Below are 20,639 nucleotides of genomic sequence, written 5' to 3'. Positions count from 1 at the left end.
AGTAAGAGGAACTGTTATATTCCTTGTGGATGGTCAGGGAAAGCCTCTCTAAGGAGGTGACACGAGCAAAATGAGGAATTAGCCATGTGAATATAGAGGAAAAGCATATTGCAATCCCGGGGTGGTGGAGGAGCCACAAGCACAAAGGCCCTAAGGTGGAATTGCTTATTTGAAAAACAGTAATAAGGCCAGAGTGGAGGAAAAGAGGTAGAAGAAGATGAGGTGGCGATGTAATAGTTTGGATGAGAGCCTATGAGCTCTGGTTGACTTTGGGATGATTCTATGTGTGAAGGGAAGCTGTTGGAGGGCTTTGATCTGACACATGTTTAGAAGAATGACTCCATGCCAGGCACAGTGGCTATGCCTGTAATTCCAGCGCTTTGGGAGGCCAAGGCGGGTGGATCACCTGAGGCTAGGAATTCAAGACCAGCTTGGCAACATGGTAAAACCTCATCTGTACTAAAAATACAAAAAATTAGCTGGGCATGGTGGCGGGCACCTGTAATCCCAACTACTCGGGAGGCTGAAGCAGGATAATCACTTGAACCCGGGAGGTAGAGGCTACAGTGAGCTGAGATCACGCCATTGCACCCCAGCCTGGGCAAAAAGGGTGAAATTCTGTTTTGTTTTGTTTTTTTAATAAAAAGAATGATTCCAATTCCTCTTTGTAGAGTAGATTGCTGGGGGCAAGAGTAGGGGCAGGTGGCTTGTGCAGTTAATTCAGGTTTTGGAGAGGTTGTGGCTTGGACTAGGGAGACAGCAGTAGAGATGGTGACAAACTTTGGATTTGGAGTATATTGTGCTTTTAATGTACAGGCAACAAGATCTGTTGACAGATTAGATATGTGAGAGAGAAAAAGAAAATTCAAAGATAAATCCAGGGTTTCTAACTGAACAACTGGATGGCAGTGACATTTCTTGAGATGCGGAGCAGCAAAGAGGGGCAGTGGGGGCTGATAATTAAGAGTTCTGTTCTGAACATGTTAATATGTGATACCTTGTAGATACATCTCAGCAGAGATGGTGTATCAGTTAGATAGATGAGTCCATGTTTTAAGGGGAGGCTCAATGATAGAGTTAGAAATTTGTGTCACCCGAGTATAAACGATATTTAAAGTCTGGAGACTGGATGAGATCCTTTAAGAGCGTGATGATAAACAGAGAAAATAAACTTTCTGAAGAGTGAGTCCTGAACACTCCAGCACCTATCTAGAGATTGGAAAGAAAAAGAGGGTTCAGTAAAAGTGACTAAAAAGTGATAGCCAGTCAAGTGGGAGGAAAGACAAAAGAATACACTATTCTGGAATCCAGAGAAGAAAGTGTGTTGTTTGAAAGAGGGAGTGATCCACTGGGTCACATGCTGCTGAAATGTCTGTGAGGAACTGAGAATTACCCATAGAAGCTGGCAATGTGAAGGGCATTGATTGGCAGTTTAAAGAGAGAGATTTGAGAGTAGAGGTTGGGCAGACAGCCTGCCTGGAGTCGATTCAAGGGAGCGTGCATGCAGGAAACTCAGATCCTTCTTGTGAGGCGTATTTCTATAAATGGGGTGGAATCTGAAGTGCAATATATCTTGAATGTTTTGTCTGCAATCTGAATTTTGATTGTTGTGTTTGAAGTTTTGTGAGGCAAGATGTTCTGTTTCCTAACATGTTCTTGTCTCCACTAGTGAATTTTATGTTCTATGAATTTAGAGTGAGACATCAAAATTTTTTTTGGTTCTCTGCTTGGTTCTCTGTGTTCAAACTAGCTTTCTCTCTCTTTCTCCATATATATATAAAATACCATGTTTAATTCAAATGTTTCAGTTTTAATTTTTATATATACCCTTTCTCTCCCTTCCAGTGAAAAGGCATGTGAATTAGTGCAGTGACTGAATCTAGATGAAATGACACACTCATGCAGCTAGCCTCTTCTGCGCTCCCAGTTTCTTCTAGAATACAATAAAGATTTTTGAGAACCTCTAGTTACCGGCCTATTCACAAGCTGAGATTTCTCAGGTACCTTGAGTGTAAACTAGATTTCCCTCAAGAAAAGTTTGTTCTGCCCTTTTTTAAAGGCAAAGAAACTCCTCTCAAAATATCTTGCTTAAAACATTTCTCACTCTGACTCCTTTATAGTCTTGTGATTATAAGCAAATTGGATTACAGAAATATAAAGGGAGCAGGATGAAGAATGTCAGGATGTTAGCTTTTTGGGGATTGACTGTGACAATCCCATGAAACTCAAGAATTTTAGGCATATCTCAGACCTTCATGGGGGTGAGGGCTCTTTGTATTGTTTACTACTGTGTTCCCAGTTATCCAATAAAATGAAGATACAAACTTGTACTGAATAACTTATGTGACAAGGTATTTATCTAGCTCTCAGTAGGTAAGCTGCCATTGTTTCTCTAACAAAATTGAAGTTATTTCATATTAGCATAGATATATATTGATCGATTATATGCATGAAAAATGAAAGCGATTATTTTATGCATAGTCACAGTATAACATTTTACCTTGATACTCATTTTTTACGGTATCCTAAAGCAAAGAACATGAACATCTATAGATTTTTTCCTCAATATCTCATTTTTTATTTCAGCCTTTCATGGGGTCAAGTGTAACTTGCTATTTTTTACTGTTCTTTAGATTTAGTCTTTGTAAATTATATCTGCCTTTAAGAGAGACAGCAACAGACCATTAGTCAGATTTGCTGGAAGTATGATACATTTCTCTATGACCTACTAACCTGAATCAAGATCCCAAACATCACAGATACGCATAGAACCTTTGCAGATACCCTTTTAATACAAGCATAGAAAGGTCTTTGTAGGCGAGTCCAAAATCTGCTATTGGCCGTCAGTTCAGCTGAGGACATCTGGCCACTTGGGAGTGAACGGAAAGACCAAAATAATAAACGTCACTAATGTTGGGGTGGCAGGTGGTTTTATTGTCTTTGGCTCTCCTTTCCTCTCCTGCATGCTACAGCATTTTTTTCCAGAAGCCGTACAGCATTTTACAAGGGGAGAAGAAATTCTTTCCTATCTCAAGGAACATCAAAGTAAATGAGAGAAATTGTTTTGATTTTGATCCTTTAAATCAGATGCACTGTCCACTTATCAGTACAAAGAAGAAAGAAATACACCACTTCCTTGGGGATTTGGCTTTGGGAAATGAGATTTTTGTCCTTGGAACCAAAGGATCATTTGTAGCACAGTCAGAACAATGGAATTCCACTGAATCCATGCCAGCATCCAAATCCATGGCCCTTGCTTGATTCTAGCACAATACATGGAATTAATGTAAAAATGTCATAATATTAATCAAAGAAAGGGAGTTTTTTTAAAAAAAATCAGTTTGTCACTGAATATAGGTTAATTTTGAGGAAAAACAAGATATATAGATATAATGAATATAAGTGTCAGTAAAATTAACAAAATGGAAGTTAAGAAAACCTTAGTTTTTAGCCTTTTTAGTTTTTAGGACTTAGGTAGAGCCAATTAGAAATCATGTGGAGCTGTATTGAAGTTATAGAAGGCAAGCAGAAATTGCAGACCACTGAGTGTGCATGATGTATGTGTCTGTGTCGTTCCTTATCTGACGTTTTTTAACTAGAACAGAGTGGCCTAGAAGAACTTCTCAAGGTCATGGCTACTTATAATAACAACAACGAACATATATAAAGCATTTGCTATGAGTCTGGGCCAATAGTAATTACTTTACATATGTTGGTTCATCTAATCTCTGCAGTGGTTCTGGGAGGTAGTCAATGAAGTAATAAACATACAAACAGGTATAAGTATATATGCAAGTATATACACATGACATATGTCATATATGTATACCTAAACGTGTAAAATATAGAAATATGATTGAGAGGCAAGTTTATAAACATTAATTATGATAATATTCACGGTGAACTTTATTTATTTTTTAATTTTTATTTTAGGTTCCAGGGTACATGTGCAGATTTGTTATATAGGTAAACTTGTGTTATGAAAGTTTGTTGTATAAACAATTTTATCACCCAGGTACTAAGCCTAGTACCTAATCGTTATTTTTTTTCTGCTCCTCTACCTCCTCCTACCCTCCACCCTCAATTAGGCCCCAATAATGTCTGTTGTTCCTTTCTTTGTATCCCTAAGTTCTCATCATTTAGCTCCCGCTTATAAGTGAGAAGATGTGGTATTTGGTTTTCTGTTCCTGTGTTAGTTTGCTAAGGATAATGTCCTGCAGCTCCATCCATGGTCCTGCAAAAGACATGCCCTCATTCTTTTTAATGACTGCATCATATTCTGTGGTGTATATGTACCACATTTTTAAAAATCCAGTCTGTCATAGATGGGCATTTAGGTTGATTCCATGTTTTTGCTATTGTGAATAGTGCTGCAATGAACATTCATATGCATGTGTCTTTATGTGGTTGAATGTTTTATAGTCCTCTAGGCATATACCCAGTAATGGGATTGCTGGGTCAAATAGTAGAATTGAAGATAGCCAGGAACAGCTGCTACAAAGCTCATTAAATCATTTACTTTGGTTTTATTCAAAATCCAAAAGCCTGGGTCCAGGGCTTTCTGGTAAAGAAAAGTGCTCAGGGATTTCAGTTCTGAATCACTGTTTGCTGGACATTTGGCCATTCTTTCTGTCTTTCCTTTCTAAGAGAAGCAGAACTGAGAGGAAAGATCAAGCAGTAAAATTCAAGAGACTAGCTCTTAGCTATTATTCTGGCACTACCTACCACTGTCACCTTGAAAATATTCCTTAATATGTTCTGGACATCAACTTACTCATCTCTAAAATGAGTTTTTCTTCTCTAAAGTTAATGATTCTTAACTTTTGGTTAAACTTTTTTAGTTGCTGTCATAGCCTTCATTTTGTTCAGTACCTGTGTCTATTATTTTTAATTTGTTAAAGTAATAAACATTTAGCCTTTATGAAATATAAAAATCTTCATTGTGCTATAGTGACAGTTTTATTCAGAGTGAGACAAATAGTGTGAAGTGTGAAGTACATTTTTTTCATTTCCAAGCTGCACATCCACACGCCTAATTACTGTTGTGTGAATAATTTCAAAGTGTCTACTAAGACTTCTAATAGCTATCACTAACTAGTAATCTGTCAAGGTATAATGCAAGATAATATGTTTTTACACAACAATAGTGAGGCTCTCATTGATTATTACCTCCTGTAATTGCTTGATATGAACATTTATTTTAAAACTTAAAAATTATATACAACAAAATAATGATTTAAACTACCTCCAGGAAGTCTATACACAGAAATTGCTGCATTAGAGTTAATGATTTATTAAGTCATATCTTATTGCTTTTATCTTAATAGATGACATGTTATTCAAATTAAAATAAAAGAAGGTTTTTGCCAACCATTAAGTATCTCACTGAGTCACATCTGCCTTAAAGAGAAACCTGTAGCTTATTAGACTTCTTTAGCAATACTTGATACACAACATCAATATATTTATATGCCCAAGGAAGGAGGATTTATAGTCTAGCTTTATTCCCCAAAGGTTAAGCGAGTTCCAGTTATATGTGTATTTCTATATCTTGTAGGACAACAAACTTTAGAATCTCATAGCCAAAATCTGCCATTTCACATTCAAAACTTTAATTTCAAAAGATTCCAGGCAGACTTTTCTTTAATTAGATATATTCTTTTTTGTCTTAGATATCTTTTCCCATTTATTTTATTTTATTTTTGCTGTAATTCAAATAGATGGGATAAAGTTAAGGTACAAATTTAAAATTATGAAGGAAAACCGTTTTTTAAACAATCAGATTTTGAACTCAATAGAAAGGAGAGTGGCTAAAAAAAAAGAGAGGTCTAAGCAGAAGATAGCTTATGGGTCAGATTCTAGCCCTGCCTTTAGAAAAACAGAGTGGAGTAAATTAAAGTCTTGTCTTGAATGAGAAAAGGAAGTTATTTTGTCAATACAGTGTAGAGAAGAAGACTAACCGGAGTGACTTTTGTGTTTCTAAATTTGGACCTTGAAGATTTCTGAAGTTGGTAGACACCTGGTGTTAGGCATTCCTTTACAAAAGAAGCATTGGGGCCACACAGTGGCTCATGCCTGTACTCCCAGCACTTTGGGAGGCCAAAGCTGGAGGATCACTTGAAGCAAGGAGTTTAAGATCAGCCTGGCCAACATGGTGAAACCCTGTCTCTACTAAAAATACAAAAAGTAGTCAGGCATGGTGGCACACACCTATAATACCAGCTACACCAGAGGCTGAGGCAGAAGAATCACTCACTTCAACCTGGGAAGTGGAAGTTGCACTGAGCCAAGATTGCGGCATCACTGCACTCCAGCTTGGGCAACAGAGTGAGACTCTGTCTCCAAAAAAAAAAAAAGAAAAAAGAAAGAGAGAGAGACAGAGAGAAAGAAAGAGAGAGAGAAAGAAAGAAGGAAGGAAGGAAGGAAGGAAAGAAAGAAAGAAGCATTGGGCTTGTGGAGCAGAAGGTTACGTGATTGCAGGTGCTAGTGTGAAACAAAGAACTACAGAAGGAGCATTACAAGGTGTGTGATTTTTCTGAGTTATCTGCATTTGAACAGCATGCCCGTGGCTCAGAAAATAACAAAGTAAGATGGGTTAAAAAATAAAAAAAGGTAAAAGATTTTAAGTAATACTTTATGAAAATAGGTATTACAGATTTATCTTCACAAATCAGATTTTCTGGACAGAGACCTCAGTAATTCAACCAAGAATCTAAAGTGTAAGTTGACACTAGGAGAGATAGCAAAGCCCTATCTTCGATGGTGGTTTTTAATTATTGTATGATAGAACATCATTCATTTTCTGCCTACTTTGGCAGGGAGTGGTGGTGGTTGGGAATTGGCATAAGTGAAGGAGGGAGGGAGAAAGGTGAAAGAAAGGGAGGGAAAAGGAAAGTCTTTTTTTATTTTTCTGGTTTCTGTTTCTTAAGATTACATTCAGAAACTAGACACATAGCTATGTGGTCACAGTGTGCAATTCTTTTTCATGTTCCTCCTTTTGAGGATATAAAATCACTAAATAAAAGCCTGTACCCAAACTTGAAGAAATTTCAGAAATATGTCTCCAAATAATACTGGATTATTCACTTTCTCTTTTCTTCCTTTCATTTATACTTTATAATGTGGTTTCTAAATGGAACTCTAGTGTTAATGCTATTGGTGGGCTTAAACCACCCCATACATTTTTTGTTGTTACAACTATATTGCTACATACGTGATAATCACCCAGTTCAATAAGTATTTGTTGTCTTTTCCTTGATATACTTAAATCTCTATAGTCTGGTGTTAGATGATTTTTTAAAAATTGTAAGGGTGATTAAAAAGGGGATGGTTTTATTTCCTGGGCAGAAGTTAATAATACAAGTTTATGATTGCTGTCTTGGTTCTCTCAAATGATCCAGTAGACCTCAGGATCTACCGCTTTCAGAACAACTTTGGACTGTCCCTTACAGCTGAATGCTAGAACCACTCCACCAAGGGAGCTAAGAGACATTATCACTCAATTTTTTAGGCATTCTTGTTAGAACACTTGATCACACGATGTGTCCTTATCATCCACCTACTCCTGGGACACAACACTTAGGTTGTGTTTTGGCTATATTAGAAAGTGAAAGTACCTTTTAAATTTCTTTGCTCATTAAGGGGGTGCAGTCATGTCACTAATTATTGTGGAAAGGAAGAGTTCTTGGAAAATGACTTGAGAATCATATTTAATGAGAAGGTTGCAATATTCAACTGCCTGATGTATTCCATTATTGACCAGAATAATTTAATTTCAGGACTTTTATTGAATCCTCACCTTTTAGCAAAAGTAAACTGGCAGAGTATTTTTTTTTTTTTTTTTTTTTTTTTTTTTTTTTTGAGACGGAGTCTCGCTCTGTCGCCCAGGCCGGACTGCGGACTGCAGTGGCGCAATCTCGGCTCACTGCAAGCTCCGCTTCCCGGGTTCACGCCATTCTCCTGCCTCAGCCTCCCCAGTAGCTGGGACTACAGGCGCCCGCCACCGCGCCCGGCTAATTTTTTGTATTTTTAGTAGAGACGGGGTTTCACCTTGTTAGCCAGGATGGTCTCGATCTCCTGACCTCATGATCCACCCGCCTCGGCCTCCCAAAGTGCTGGGATTACAGGCGTGAGCCACCGCGCCCGGCCGAGTATTTTCATTTCCTAATTGGGCCATGTCTCTCTTTCCGTTTTGTTCCACTTGACTGAGTCATGGATTAATTTGTTTCTAGTATTGCTTGCCTTTTGTGATTGGCCCAACTATGGAAAAGCACCCTTTGTTCCTTAGGTTTCCCGTTGGCCAGGTCACATTTCAGCTACTCATTAAAACATGTATTTATTCTACTCTGGAGCACATTGTCTGGCCAACCATGAATTTATAGTGAAATGTAACAGTAAATTGTGCTCTGTGGTCAAAAATGCCAAATGATACACACAGCAGCATAAAGGTTTCCAGCATAGGGTAGAATTAAAGAGCTTAGGACCAGTGCCTGGATTGTTGGCCATATTTTCACAGTGGCCAGTTTTGTTAGATTCAAACTTGGAGAGAGCTTGAAATCACTTATCTCAGATGTTTGCACTCACGACCACAAAGCCTCTGAGAAACACAGAACTGATCTTGTAATAAGCTCCAGCTGAGTTTACAAGCCTCTGAGCCTTTCTGAAAGCCTGTTTAGTTTAATGAGGGTTTTCAGATTTCAAAGCTCACACACCTTCACATAAAAACAGATGATTATGACCAAATTAGGGAATGTTGTTCTCTGAGTGTGTTCCCCCAATATCTTCTCTTTTCAGTTGTCAGGCATTGTTTCAGTACACTTTTCGCCTTCCAGACATCATTTTAAAGTACGATTTTGCTAAGTTTTATTGTATATAGTTTCTATTTAGGCAGAATGTTATGTTCAATAAAACGGATTTTTCTCTTAGCAGTTGAAGACCAATATGCATATTTTTATCCAGTAATAAAAGGAACAATCTAGAAAAATGTAAACCTTCAGCTTCTGCTACCGTGACAACTGTCCTAAGAGGCTAGGTCTCCACGTTCACATGTGTGACCTACTTCGTAGGGGTCTACAACCTGTTTCTGAATGGCTTGAAGGGAAAGAGCCATGTCTATGAAACAGATGGATATAGGAGAGAGAATATTCATACTTTAGTCATTTTGATATTGCAGATTACCTTTATGATCACTTATAACACTATCTTCATTGAAAAATATAGTGTTTAAATGATAGCTTTAATATGTGCAGCATATTTTGGTATTATTCTACCTAATTTTTTTAATGTCTTCTCAGCCACCCTTATAAAGAAACATAATAACAATTAGGATTTGAGGCATTCAAGCCTTACTCGAACACCAAATTATTTATTACATTTTAACCATCGTTTTACAAAGAGGCATCACACAAAATGTGAGGTTCAAATGTCAGCAGTGCAGAAACAGAGAGAAATGAAATATAGAGGGGTTCTTGAAGAAAGAGGCATGTGAATGACATCAGACGGCACTGGAATGGTGCTGAGCTGGTAGAACCCTTGCCTCCTAAGCCTCTTGAGTTTTCCCACCTGACTCTTGCATCACACAAGCAAATTGACAACACATGAGTTAGAAGTCTTTATAAAGTTGAGCTGTTATTCAGGGAAATGGTTTGCTGTTTCATCTTTCTCTCCAGCTATTATTTTCATACACGCCCCAGCCCAAACACTAAATCCCTTGAATTTTTTCTCTACTCTTTACATCAGAATTAGCTACCCAAGGTTTAGGAAAGGATATGGAAAGAGGATCTGTGTCTTAATTACAGTCCTGCATTTTAATAAGTATTTGTTTTCTAATCAGGGACAACCTTATAACTGTTAATTAAAGTTCCACCCAGTGTAGCTCAAACTGGAGCCTGAGAGTTATATGATAATTCATACATTTTGTATTTTTATTTCATTTTATTGCTTATCCTAAAAATGCACTCTTACCAGTTATGGAGATTACCTTTTTCTTTCACTTTTCTTGTAAAATGCAGTTTACATAGAATTAAATAGTCAAAATATTAAGTAGACAATATTACTATTCTCTATTTTAAAAGTGCATGAGGAGTAACTGGTTTGAGACATGCCCTCTTGCTCTAAACAAATAGGAAAACAATACAAAATTTATAAAATACTGTTTTAGACATTGGCCAACACACCATGCAGTAACGTGATCCCTCAGAAAAGGGAAACAAACAAGGTAAGTACTACAAACACCTGAGCTTCCTGCCTAGCAGCAGGACCAGAGTGTAGTATAGAAAGGGAGAACCCAAGCAGAGCCTAATTGTCTTGCTGCTTAAAGAAGACAGAGATAAGAGCTCAGGGAGGCCAAGCCAACAGGATTTTGGGGGAACAATAATGGAAAGGTTGGACTTATACAAAGAAAGAGCTCCAGAAATCTGTGTAAGGATCTGGTTTAGTATTTGACTGAATACAAATCTGTGTATGCATAGGGTAGAACTCTAAAGCAGGAGAAAGAGCAGTTGTTGGTAAGCTGTGAAATGACCACTTCCTAGGGCTCTCATAGGGCTGAGAGACATTCGAGTTTCTATCAAGCAAATAGGAGAAAGTTCACCAAACACTTGGGAGAATATTTAGAGATGTTCAAAGAATCGTTAGTACTAGGAATGAACTATCCCCAGAACAAAGACTGCTATAGAGCTGTCCTAACAAAGCTTAAAAATAGGCCTTGAAAGGATAAAACTGATCTGCAATTAACTTAATGTTCTGCCAAGACAAATGTCAATATCCATTAAAAAAAGGCAACAAAGTCCAACTGCTCATATTAATTTATAATATCTGGCATCTAATTTACACATATAAAAAAGCAGGAGGCTGGGCGCAGTGGCTCACACCCGTAATACCAGCACTTTGGGAGGCCAAGGCGGGTGGATCATGAGGTCAGGAGTTTGAGACCAGCCTGGCCAATATGGTGAAACCCCGTCTCTACTAAAAATACAAAAATTAGCCAGGCGTGTGGTGGGCACCTGTAATCCCAGCTACTCGGGAGGCTGAGGCAGGAGAATTGCTTGAACCTGGGAGGCGGAGGTTGCAGTGAGCCAAGATCGCGCCATTGCACTCCAGCCTGAGTGACAGAGCTAGACTCCGACTCAAAAAAAAAAAAAAAAAAAAAAAAAAAAAAAAGGCAGGAAAGTATGACTCAAAACCAGAATGTGAACAGTTAATGGAAACAGACCAGAAATGGTAAAGGTGATAGACTTGATGGAAAAATAAATCAAGGATTTAAATGAAAACATGAACATACTTAGGAGAGAAATGGAACACATATAAAATAACCAAACACAGCTTTTAGAACTGAAAAATATAATATTTATATGAAAAGTTTACTGGGTATATATGGTTAGGCTTTGTGTCCCCAACCAAATCTCATCTTGAATTGTAATCCCCATAATCCCCATGTGTCAAGGGGATTATCTGGTGGAGGTAATTTAATCATGGAGGCAGTTTCTCCCATGCTATTCTCATGATAGTGAGTTCTTATGAGATCTAATGATTTTATAAAGGTTCTTCCCTTCACTCAGCAATTCTCCTTCCTGCAGCCTTGTGAAGATGGTGTCTTGCCTTCCCCTTCACCTTTACCGTGATTGTAAGTTTCCTGAGGCCTCCCAAGCCATGCTGAACTGAGTCAATTAAACCTCTTTTCTTTAGAAATTAACCAGCCTCAGGTATTTCTTTATAGCAGCATGAGAACCGACTAATAGCATATATTTAAATGGCAGATTAGACATCACAGTAGAAAATATCAGTGAACTGGCCGGGCACGGTAGCTCACTCCTGTAATCCCAGCACTTGGAGGCCGAGGTGGGTGGATCACGAGGCCAGGAGATGGAGATCATCCTGGCTAACACGGTGAAAACCCGTCTGTACTAAAAATACAAAAAATTAGCCAGGTGTGGTGGCGGGCGCCTGTAGTCTCAGCTACTTGGAAGGCTGAGGCAGGAGAATGGCTTGAACCTGGGAGGCGGAGCTTGCAGTGAGCCGAGATTGCGCCACTGCACTCCAGCCTGGGCGGCAGAGCGAGACTCCATCTCAAAAAAAAAAAATAAATAAATAAAAATTAAAAAAATAAAAAAAGAAAAGAAAATATCAGTGAACTCATAGCAATGGAAATTATCCAAACTGAACCTCCCCTAAAGACAAAAACAATGGTGAAAATTTTCTAAATGTCATGAAATGTATAAATCTATAGTTCAAAGCACAGTGAACCTCAACCAAGATAAACTGAAAAAAAAAAAAAACACTTCAAGGCACATCACTATCAAATTGTTTAAAGTCATTGATGAAGATTAAAACTGTAAAATAATTAGGGAAGAAAAAACATTGCATACAGGGGAACAGATAACACATACTTCTCATCAGAAATAATTCAAAGCAGGAGACAAGGGAATTACATTTTAAAGAGCTAAAAACATTAACATACAACTCTATATACAACAAAAATAGCTTTCCAAAAAAAGATGAGATAAAAACTTTCAGAGAGAAAATCTGAGAAAAGTGTTTGCCATCCAGCTTTTATGAAATACTAAAGAAAATTCATCAGATGGAAGAAAGTGATACCATGTGAAACCTTGGCTCTATACAAATCCATGAAGAGTGACAGAAATAGTAAAATTAGATACTTTTTTATTTTAAACATTATTTTAAAGGTAATTATTTAAAGCAAAAAATACCATTCTATTTTGGTTTTTCTAACATTTGTGTATGTAAAAGACATAGAAAAATAGCATAAAGGCAGGAAGAGGAGAAATGGAAATATACAGCTTTAAGGTCATTGTGTGTGAAATAGGATAATTATACAAATAAACCAGGAGAGAAGATAAAAAGAAGTATCAACAAATAATATCAAATAATATAGAAAAGGAAAAAAAGTAACAAAAAAACAGATGTAACAAACAGAAAAAAATTGGTAAGCTAGTATCCTTAATTGCATATACATTAAAATATAAATGATAGAAACAACTTAAAAGGTAAGGATTGTTGGTCCAGCGCAGTGACTCACGCCTGTAATCCCAGCACTTTGGGAGGCCAAGGTGAGTGGATCACCTGAGGTCAGGAGTTCGAGACCAGCCTGGCCAACATGGAGAAACCCCATCTCTACTAAAAATACAAAAATTAGCTGGGTGTACTGTGTACGTCTGCCATCCCAACTACTCGGCAGGCAGAGGCAGGAGAATCACTTGAACCCAGGAGTTGGAGGTTGCCATAAGCCAAGATCGTACCATTGCAATCCAGCCTGGGCGCCAGAGTGAGATTCGGTCTCAAAAAAAAAAAAAAAAAAAAAAAAGTAGAGATTGTCAGACTGCACAAAAAGATGAGGGAGTCATATATACGTGTGTACAACAACTTTATAAAGACACAGGGATTTAAAGAATGACAACATAGTACCATGGAAACATTAATTCTAAGAAGTTTAAAATGGTTATATGTTCATGAAGGACAAGAAATAATGCCAGATATAAAGAGGGACACCACATATTATGAAACGGATAAATTCTTCAAGAAAATGTACCAAGTTTCATTGTTTATACACCTAACAGCAGAGCTTCAGAATACTTAAAGCAAATAATAGAATTGAAAGGAAAAAGAGAAAAAAATCCACAAGTATATGTGAAGACATCAATATTTCTTTCTCATTAATTTATAGAACAAACAGAAAATTATTAAGCAAATAGAAAATCTGAAAAACTATCAGTCAACTTAATCTAACGGATATTTATAGAACTTGCCACCCAACAACAGCAGAATACACATTATTTTCAGATGCACATAGAATATTCACCAAGTTTGACCTCCTGGGCCATAAAACGTCTTAGGAAATGTAAAAGTGTTAAATTTATGCAAAGTAGGATTTGGACCTTAGCAGAATTAAATGAGGAATTAAGAACATAAAGTTATCTGGAAAAATCTCTGAGTATTTGGAAATTTCACAACACTCTTCTGAATAACCCATGGGTTAAAGAGAAATTCACAAGGGAATTTAGACTACATATATTTAAAATTAATTAATGGTTTTAGTTGACAAAACTTATGTATATTTACCATATACCACATCATGTTTTGAACTATGTATACATTGTGGAATGGCTACATCAAGGTAGTTAACATATGCATACCTCACTTACTTACCTTTTTTTTGTGGTAAGTACACTTAAATTTTTCTATTATCTTAGTGACTTTCAAAAATACAATATAATATTATTATCTATAGTCACCTCATTATACAATAGATATCTTGAACTTATTCCTCCTAACTTAAATTTTATATCCTTTTTCCAACATCACTGACCATTTCTCACCCACCGCTTAGCCCCAGTAACCACTGTTCTACTCTCTGCTTTTATGCATTCAGGTTTTTTAGATTCCACATATGGTAGATGTTTTTATGTGCCTGGCTTATTTCACTTAACGTATTATTCTCCAGGTTTAATCATGTCCGGAATGTTAATATTTCTTTCTAAGGTTGAGTGGTATTCCATTCTGTATCAATACACCACATTTTCTATATATATTTATTCATTGATGGACACTAAGGTTGATTTCATATCTTGGCTATTGTGAATAATGCTGCAGTGAACATGGGAATGCAGTTTTCTCTTTGAGATCCTCACTTCAATTCCTCCGGATATTCCTTATGGATACCCAGAAGTCAGATTGCTGGATCATATGGTAGTTATATTTTTAGTTTTTTGAAGAACCTCCATACTGTTTTTATAGTGGCTGTACCTATTTGCATTCCCCAGAGTGTACAGGGTTCTCTTTTCTCCATATTTTCATCAATACTTGTTATCTGTTCATTTTGTTTTTATAGTAGCCATTTTGACAGGGTTGAGGTAATATCTCATTGTGTTTTTAATTTGCACTTCTCTGAATGGTGATGTTGAGCAATTTTTCATATACGTGTTGTCCATTTATATGTCTTCTTTTGAGAAATGTCTATTTTTCATATACCTATTGGCCATTAGTACATCTTCTTTTGAGACATGTCTATTCAGATCCTTTGCCTATTTCTTAATTGGATTATTTGTTTTCTTGCTATTGAGTTGTTCCACAGGTGGTCTCTTCACTCTATTGATTGTTTCCTTTGCTGTGCAGAGGCTTTTTAGTTTGATGTCTTAACGTTTGTCTATATTTGCTTTTTTTTGTTTGTGCTTTTGGGGTCATATAAAAAAATCGTTGCCCATACCAATGTCATGGAGTTGTCTCCACATCTTCTAGTAATTTTATAGTTTTAGGTCTTATCTTTATGTCTGTAATCTGTTTTGAGTTTGTTTTTATATATGGTATGATAGAAAATATTTTGAATTGAAAGAAAATAAAGACACAGCTTTTTCAAAATTTGTGAAATATTGCTGAAGTATTTATTGCATTAAATGGTCATATTAAACTAAGTCTCAAATGTCTCAAATCAATAATACAAGCTTCCACTATAAGAATCTAGGAAGAAAAGAACAAATTAAAGTTAAGTTAAAGAATGGAAATAATAAAGATAGGAAAAGAAATCCATGAAACTAAGTATAGAAAAATAATAGAGAAATTCCATGAAACAACTGCTGGTTCATTACAAGAGAAATTGATAAAATTGACAAGTTTGTTACCAGACCAAACAAAAAAGAAAGGATATAAGAAATTAATGAAGAGACATCACTACAAACTGGATAGTCATTAAAAGGGTGGTAAGGGAATCACATGAATAACTTTATGCCAAGAAATTTGACAACTTGAATGAAATGGATACCTTTCTGAAAATAAACAAACTGCCAAAAGTCACTTAAGAGGAAATTGAAGTCTAAAGTATACTATACAGATATTGAATATGAAGTTTTAAGTCCTCCAGCAAAGGAAAATCTGGGCTTAACATGGCTTCAGCAGAGAATTCTACCAAACATTTAAGGAAGATATAATACCAAGTCTGTACAAATCTTCCAGAATATGCCAAAAAATGAATCTCAATCCATATATTTTGCCCTATTCAAAACTTACCTTGAAGTAGATCATAGACTCAAATGTAAAATTTTAAACAATGCGATTTGTAGAATAAAATATAGGAGAAAATTTGGTTATGCAAGGATTTATTAGCAAAAGCATGGTCTATAAAGAAATACATGATAGAGTGGGCTTTTTATAAATTCACAACTTTTTGTAGAAATCAACAAAGCATTTCTAAAATGTATATGGAAATTCAATGGTCCTATATCCAAAACAATCTTGAAAGGGAAAAGACATTGGAAGGCTCTCACTACCTGAATTTCAGGCTTAGGATAAAGCTACAATAATAAATATAATGTGGTGGTAAGTTTATTAAGGATAGACATACAGCTCAAACATGAATTTATCATATGACCCAACAATGCTGCTTCTGGGTATTTACCCACAAGAAACGGAAGCATGTACCCACTGAAACACTTGTACATAATGTTCATTGCATTTTTATTTGTAATAGCTGCAAACTGGAAAAAAAGACTACAATGTCCATTTGTGGGTGAACTGATAAACAATTATGCTAGATCCATTTAATGAAATACTAATAAGTAATAAAAGGTGAAAGAACCCAAATGTATGTATGAATGAATCTCAAAAACTTTATAATAAGCCAAAAAAGCCAGCCAGAAAAGAGTACATATAACATATTTTATGATTTCATTTACATGAAATTCTATGTCAGACAAGGTAAACTAGGGTGACAGAAAGTAGATCTGTGCCTGAGGTTAACATTGTTGGTTACATAGATTGCAATAAAACTTTTGGGGTTGATGAAAATGTCTCATGGCTTGATTGTGATTTTGGTTATATGGGTAGTTATATTTGTCAAGACTCATAGATTTATCCACTTATATCAATTTATTTCATGTAATTTATACTTCAATGAAGTTGATTTTTAAAATAGTGCATGAGGTATCCATTGTTTTTTAAAGTGAAGAAAATGTTATTTTTATTTTCCCTTTGTTTCCTTGTGCTGTAATAGTATTATTGGAGATATTTCTTTTTTTTATTATTATACTTTAAGTTTTAGGGTACATGTGCACAATATGAAGGTTAGTTACATATGTATACATGTGACATGCTGGTGCGCTGCACCCACTAACTCGTCATCTAGCATTAGGTATATCTCCCAATGCTATCCCTCCCCCCTCGCCCCACCCCACAACAGTCCCCAGAGTGTGATGTTCCCCTTCCTGTGTCCATGTATTCTCATTGTTCAATTCCCACCTATGAGTGAGAATATGCGGTGTTTGGTTTTTTGTTCTTGCGATAGTTTACTGAGAATGATGATTTCCAATTTCATCCATGTCCCTACAAAGGACATGAACTCATCATTTTTTATGGCTGCATAGTATTCCATGGTGTATATGTGCCACATTGTCTTAATCCAGTCTATCATTGTTGGACATTTGGGTTGGTTCCAAGTCTTTGCCAGAACAGAGCCCTCAGAAATAATGCCGCATACCTACAACTATCTGATCTTTGACAAACCTGAGAAAAACAAGCAATGGGGAAAGGATTCCCTATTTAATAAATGGTGCTGGGAAAACTGGCTAGCCATATGTAGAAAGCTGAAACTGGATCCCTTCCTTACACCTTATACAAAAATCAATTCAAGATGGATTAAAGACTTAAACGTTAGACCTAAAACCATAAAAACCCTAGAAGAAAACCTAGGCATTACCATTCAGGACATAGGCACGGGCAAGGACTTCATGTCTAAAACACCAAAAGCAATGGCAACAAAAGCCAAAATTGACAAATGGGATCTAATTAACTAAAGAGCTTCTGCACAGCAAAAGAAACTACCATCAGAGTGAACAGGCAACCCACAAAATGGGAGAAGATTTTCGCAACCTACTCATCTGACAAAGGGCTAATATCCGGAATATACAATGAACTCAAACAAATTTACAAGAAAAAAACAACCCCATCAAAAAGTGGGCAAAGGACATGAACAGATGCTTCTCATAAGAAGACATTTATGCAGCCAAAAGACACATGAAAAAATGCTCACCATCACTGGCCATCAGAGAAATGCAAATCAAAACCACAATGAGATATCATTACACACCAGTTAGAATGGCAATCATTAAAAAGTCAGGAAACAACAGCTGCTGGAGAGGATGTGGAGAAACAGGAGCACTTTTACACTGTTGGTGGGACTGTAAACTAGTTCAACCATTGTGGAAGTCAGTGTGGCGATTCCTCAGGGATCTAGAACTAGAAATACCATTTGACCCAGCCATCCCATTACTGGGTATATACCCAAAGGACTATTGGACATATTTCTAAAAAAAATAAAGTGAACTAAGTTTTTTTTTTCTTTTAGTTAGCACACTGGAAGCAGTGACATCATTTCAGCTGTTGTGTTTTTTTTTTTTAAGGAAGTTAACTTTACTAAGTGACATGCAGAAATAGTTTTAAGCCTGGTCATCAGCACTAAGAGCAATAAGATGTTCTCATTATATTTATTTTTAGTTCATACACAAAATGATTCATGTGAATTTAGCCCCTAATTCTAAGACTAAGAAAAAGAAAGAGAGGTTTATAATGTATTGTTTTTATCTCCAGCAGGTATTAGATTCTGGACATTTCTCCCCGACAGTAGCTTCTTAAGGTCCACCTGTATTGACATAAGTGTCAGATCTGTCATCAGTTCCAGGATGAAGAAAGATAATTTTCTTTTTCCCTGAGTTTGCATCTTTTCCCACTACATTACAAATGTCAATTTATGGCAGAAATAGCATTCTTTAATAATTATGTGAAAAAGTCATTACAAGAAAAGGGCCCTTTTCATATAATAAATTAGCCTAGGTTGTTTGCTTTAACAGAAACCCTCCATGCTGTGCAGATGGACCTTTTCTTACACTGCTCATGAGATTGTGGATTGACAGATTGCATGAAAGCCACATGGAATGCAGTAGGGGCAGCAGCAGAAGGGAGAGGTGGATTGCCTCCCCTGATCTCCTGATCAAAGGATCTAGATAATGCTACTACTCACATACAGAATATGTTTAGATTTATTGAGGCATCTCTTATTTTTGAATATGCCAAAACAGACAGACCCAGTTTTTTGCAAACAAATTGCCATTATTATGTGTAATGGAATTGGAATAAAGCGACTCCCATTTTTTATGTTACTGGATTGCTGTAAATCATCTGAAAGTGCACACCTCTTCCCACCTATATTTCTTAACCACTTTACTGCCAGAACTTATTTAAATCTTATCTCATATTCTCTTGTTTTCTTGCTGTCTAATTAGAAAACCACTTGACCATTACTGCCCCTGTGATCTATGTGATTTCTTTCCTTCTGATTTGGAGTCTTCCCAATATCAACTCTACCATTTATTTATTTTTTAATTTTAAAATATTTTAATGATCTAGATACTTTGAACTTTTCTAATTAGCTTGTATTTGTGCCCTGAAATATTTAAAACAAAATATTTGGAAGGATTTTGACATTTACACTCTCATGGTATTTGTATTTGCAGTTCCCTGAATGTGGTTTCTACGGAATGTATGATAAGATCCTGCTTTTTCGCCATGACCCTACCTCTGAAAACATCCTTCAGCTGGTGAAAGCGGCCAGTGATATCCAGGAAGGCGATCTTATTGAAGTGGTCTTGTCAGGTAGTATACTTTTATACCTTTTCTTTATCCGTAGATTAGAAGTTGTATTTGAAGAATTCTTGGGCATATGTTTTTAAGGAAACATAAAAAGCATATCTCAAACTCAGCTCCAAGAGAAGATGTTGGAGCTCTGTCCACATGAAAAAGGGAAACAAAAGGTTTCCCTTTAATTGGCTGTGTCCACACCCAGTACTGCTCCAATCACGTCTCTTGACTTAAGGCTTCCTCCCAGCCCCCTCTCAGCCTCTAGCAACATACAGATGGCGTCATTCAGCACCTTGAATCATTTGGACAGCAGCAAAAGCAAACAAGAAACTCACCAACAGTGAAGCTAAATTAGCTGTCAGGGCTGCAATTGTACAGAATGTGTGGAAGCCAAGAAATAGCACCAGGGCTAAGAAGCCTTTGACTTACTAAGGTCAAAAGTCCAGTAGCTATGAGGTAAGCCAAGACCAAGGAGGAAGCCAGAGCCCAGGAGTTAGAGAAGGTCAGGTCATGCCATGTGACGCTAGTTAACTCAGTCCCTGAGAAATGGCTACATTTGCCTCTGCTCACATTTTTTATTTCTTGTTTAGGATTTAGCAGTTAGTAATAGGACTGTGCCTAACCAAACAGAAAAAAAAGAATGTATTTAACCTTTTTAAAAAGCACCAGAGAACAACAGCTAGAGTGGAGATCCTTACAATGATACTCAATGCAATGATAATGTATCCAAATTTTTATTGTTTATTTTTGTTAAAAAGAGAATAATTATTGAGAAACTTGGATTGCCTTGCTCTTTTCTCCTCTCATGCCTTCTTTGTTTACCATCTCTTTGAATAAAAGAAGTCCAGCAGCATTACAGAGTCTCAAGTTTATTTCCTCAAGTTCCTCAACTTGTTCAGAGCCCAGTACTTGGATGCACTGATTATAATTCAATTTATCTTTGTTTTATTCACTTTGCTTTGATTCAGTCTAGTTCTCTTTTTTATCTTTATTGGTTGCCT

The 20,639-nt window shown here is 36.5% G+C and overlaps 1 protein-coding gene across 6 annotated transcripts in view; it reads left to right on the top strand.

The window, feature by feature from the left end:
- PRKD1 (protein kinase D1) overlaps nucleotides 1-20,639 on the top strand; it is a 351,369-nt gene that overhangs the window by 182,659 nt on the left and 148,071 nt on the right. For all 6 annotated transcript variants that reach the window (XR_943493.3, NM_002742.3, NM_001330069.2 and 3 more), the window contains exon 2: nucleotides 19,515-19,653. Coding sequence is in view for 5 of the 6 variants with exons in the window: in NM_002742.3 (NP_002733.2) it covers nucleotides 19,515-19,653 (139 nt within the window). In the remaining variant the exon portion in view is untranslated. The remainder of the gene's footprint in view (nucleotides 1-19,514; nucleotides 19,654-20,639) is intronic.

Source organism: Homo sapiens, chromosome 14 (genome assembly GCF_000001405.40).
Source record: "Homo sapiens chromosome 14, GRCh38.p14 Primary Assembly".
Classification (NCBI taxonomy): domain Eukaryota; kingdom Metazoa; phylum Chordata; class Mammalia; order Primates; family Hominidae; genus Homo; species Homo sapiens.
The sequence above is the reverse complement of the archived record's forward strand: the minus strand, read 5'-3'. Positions and strand labels throughout refer to the sequence as shown.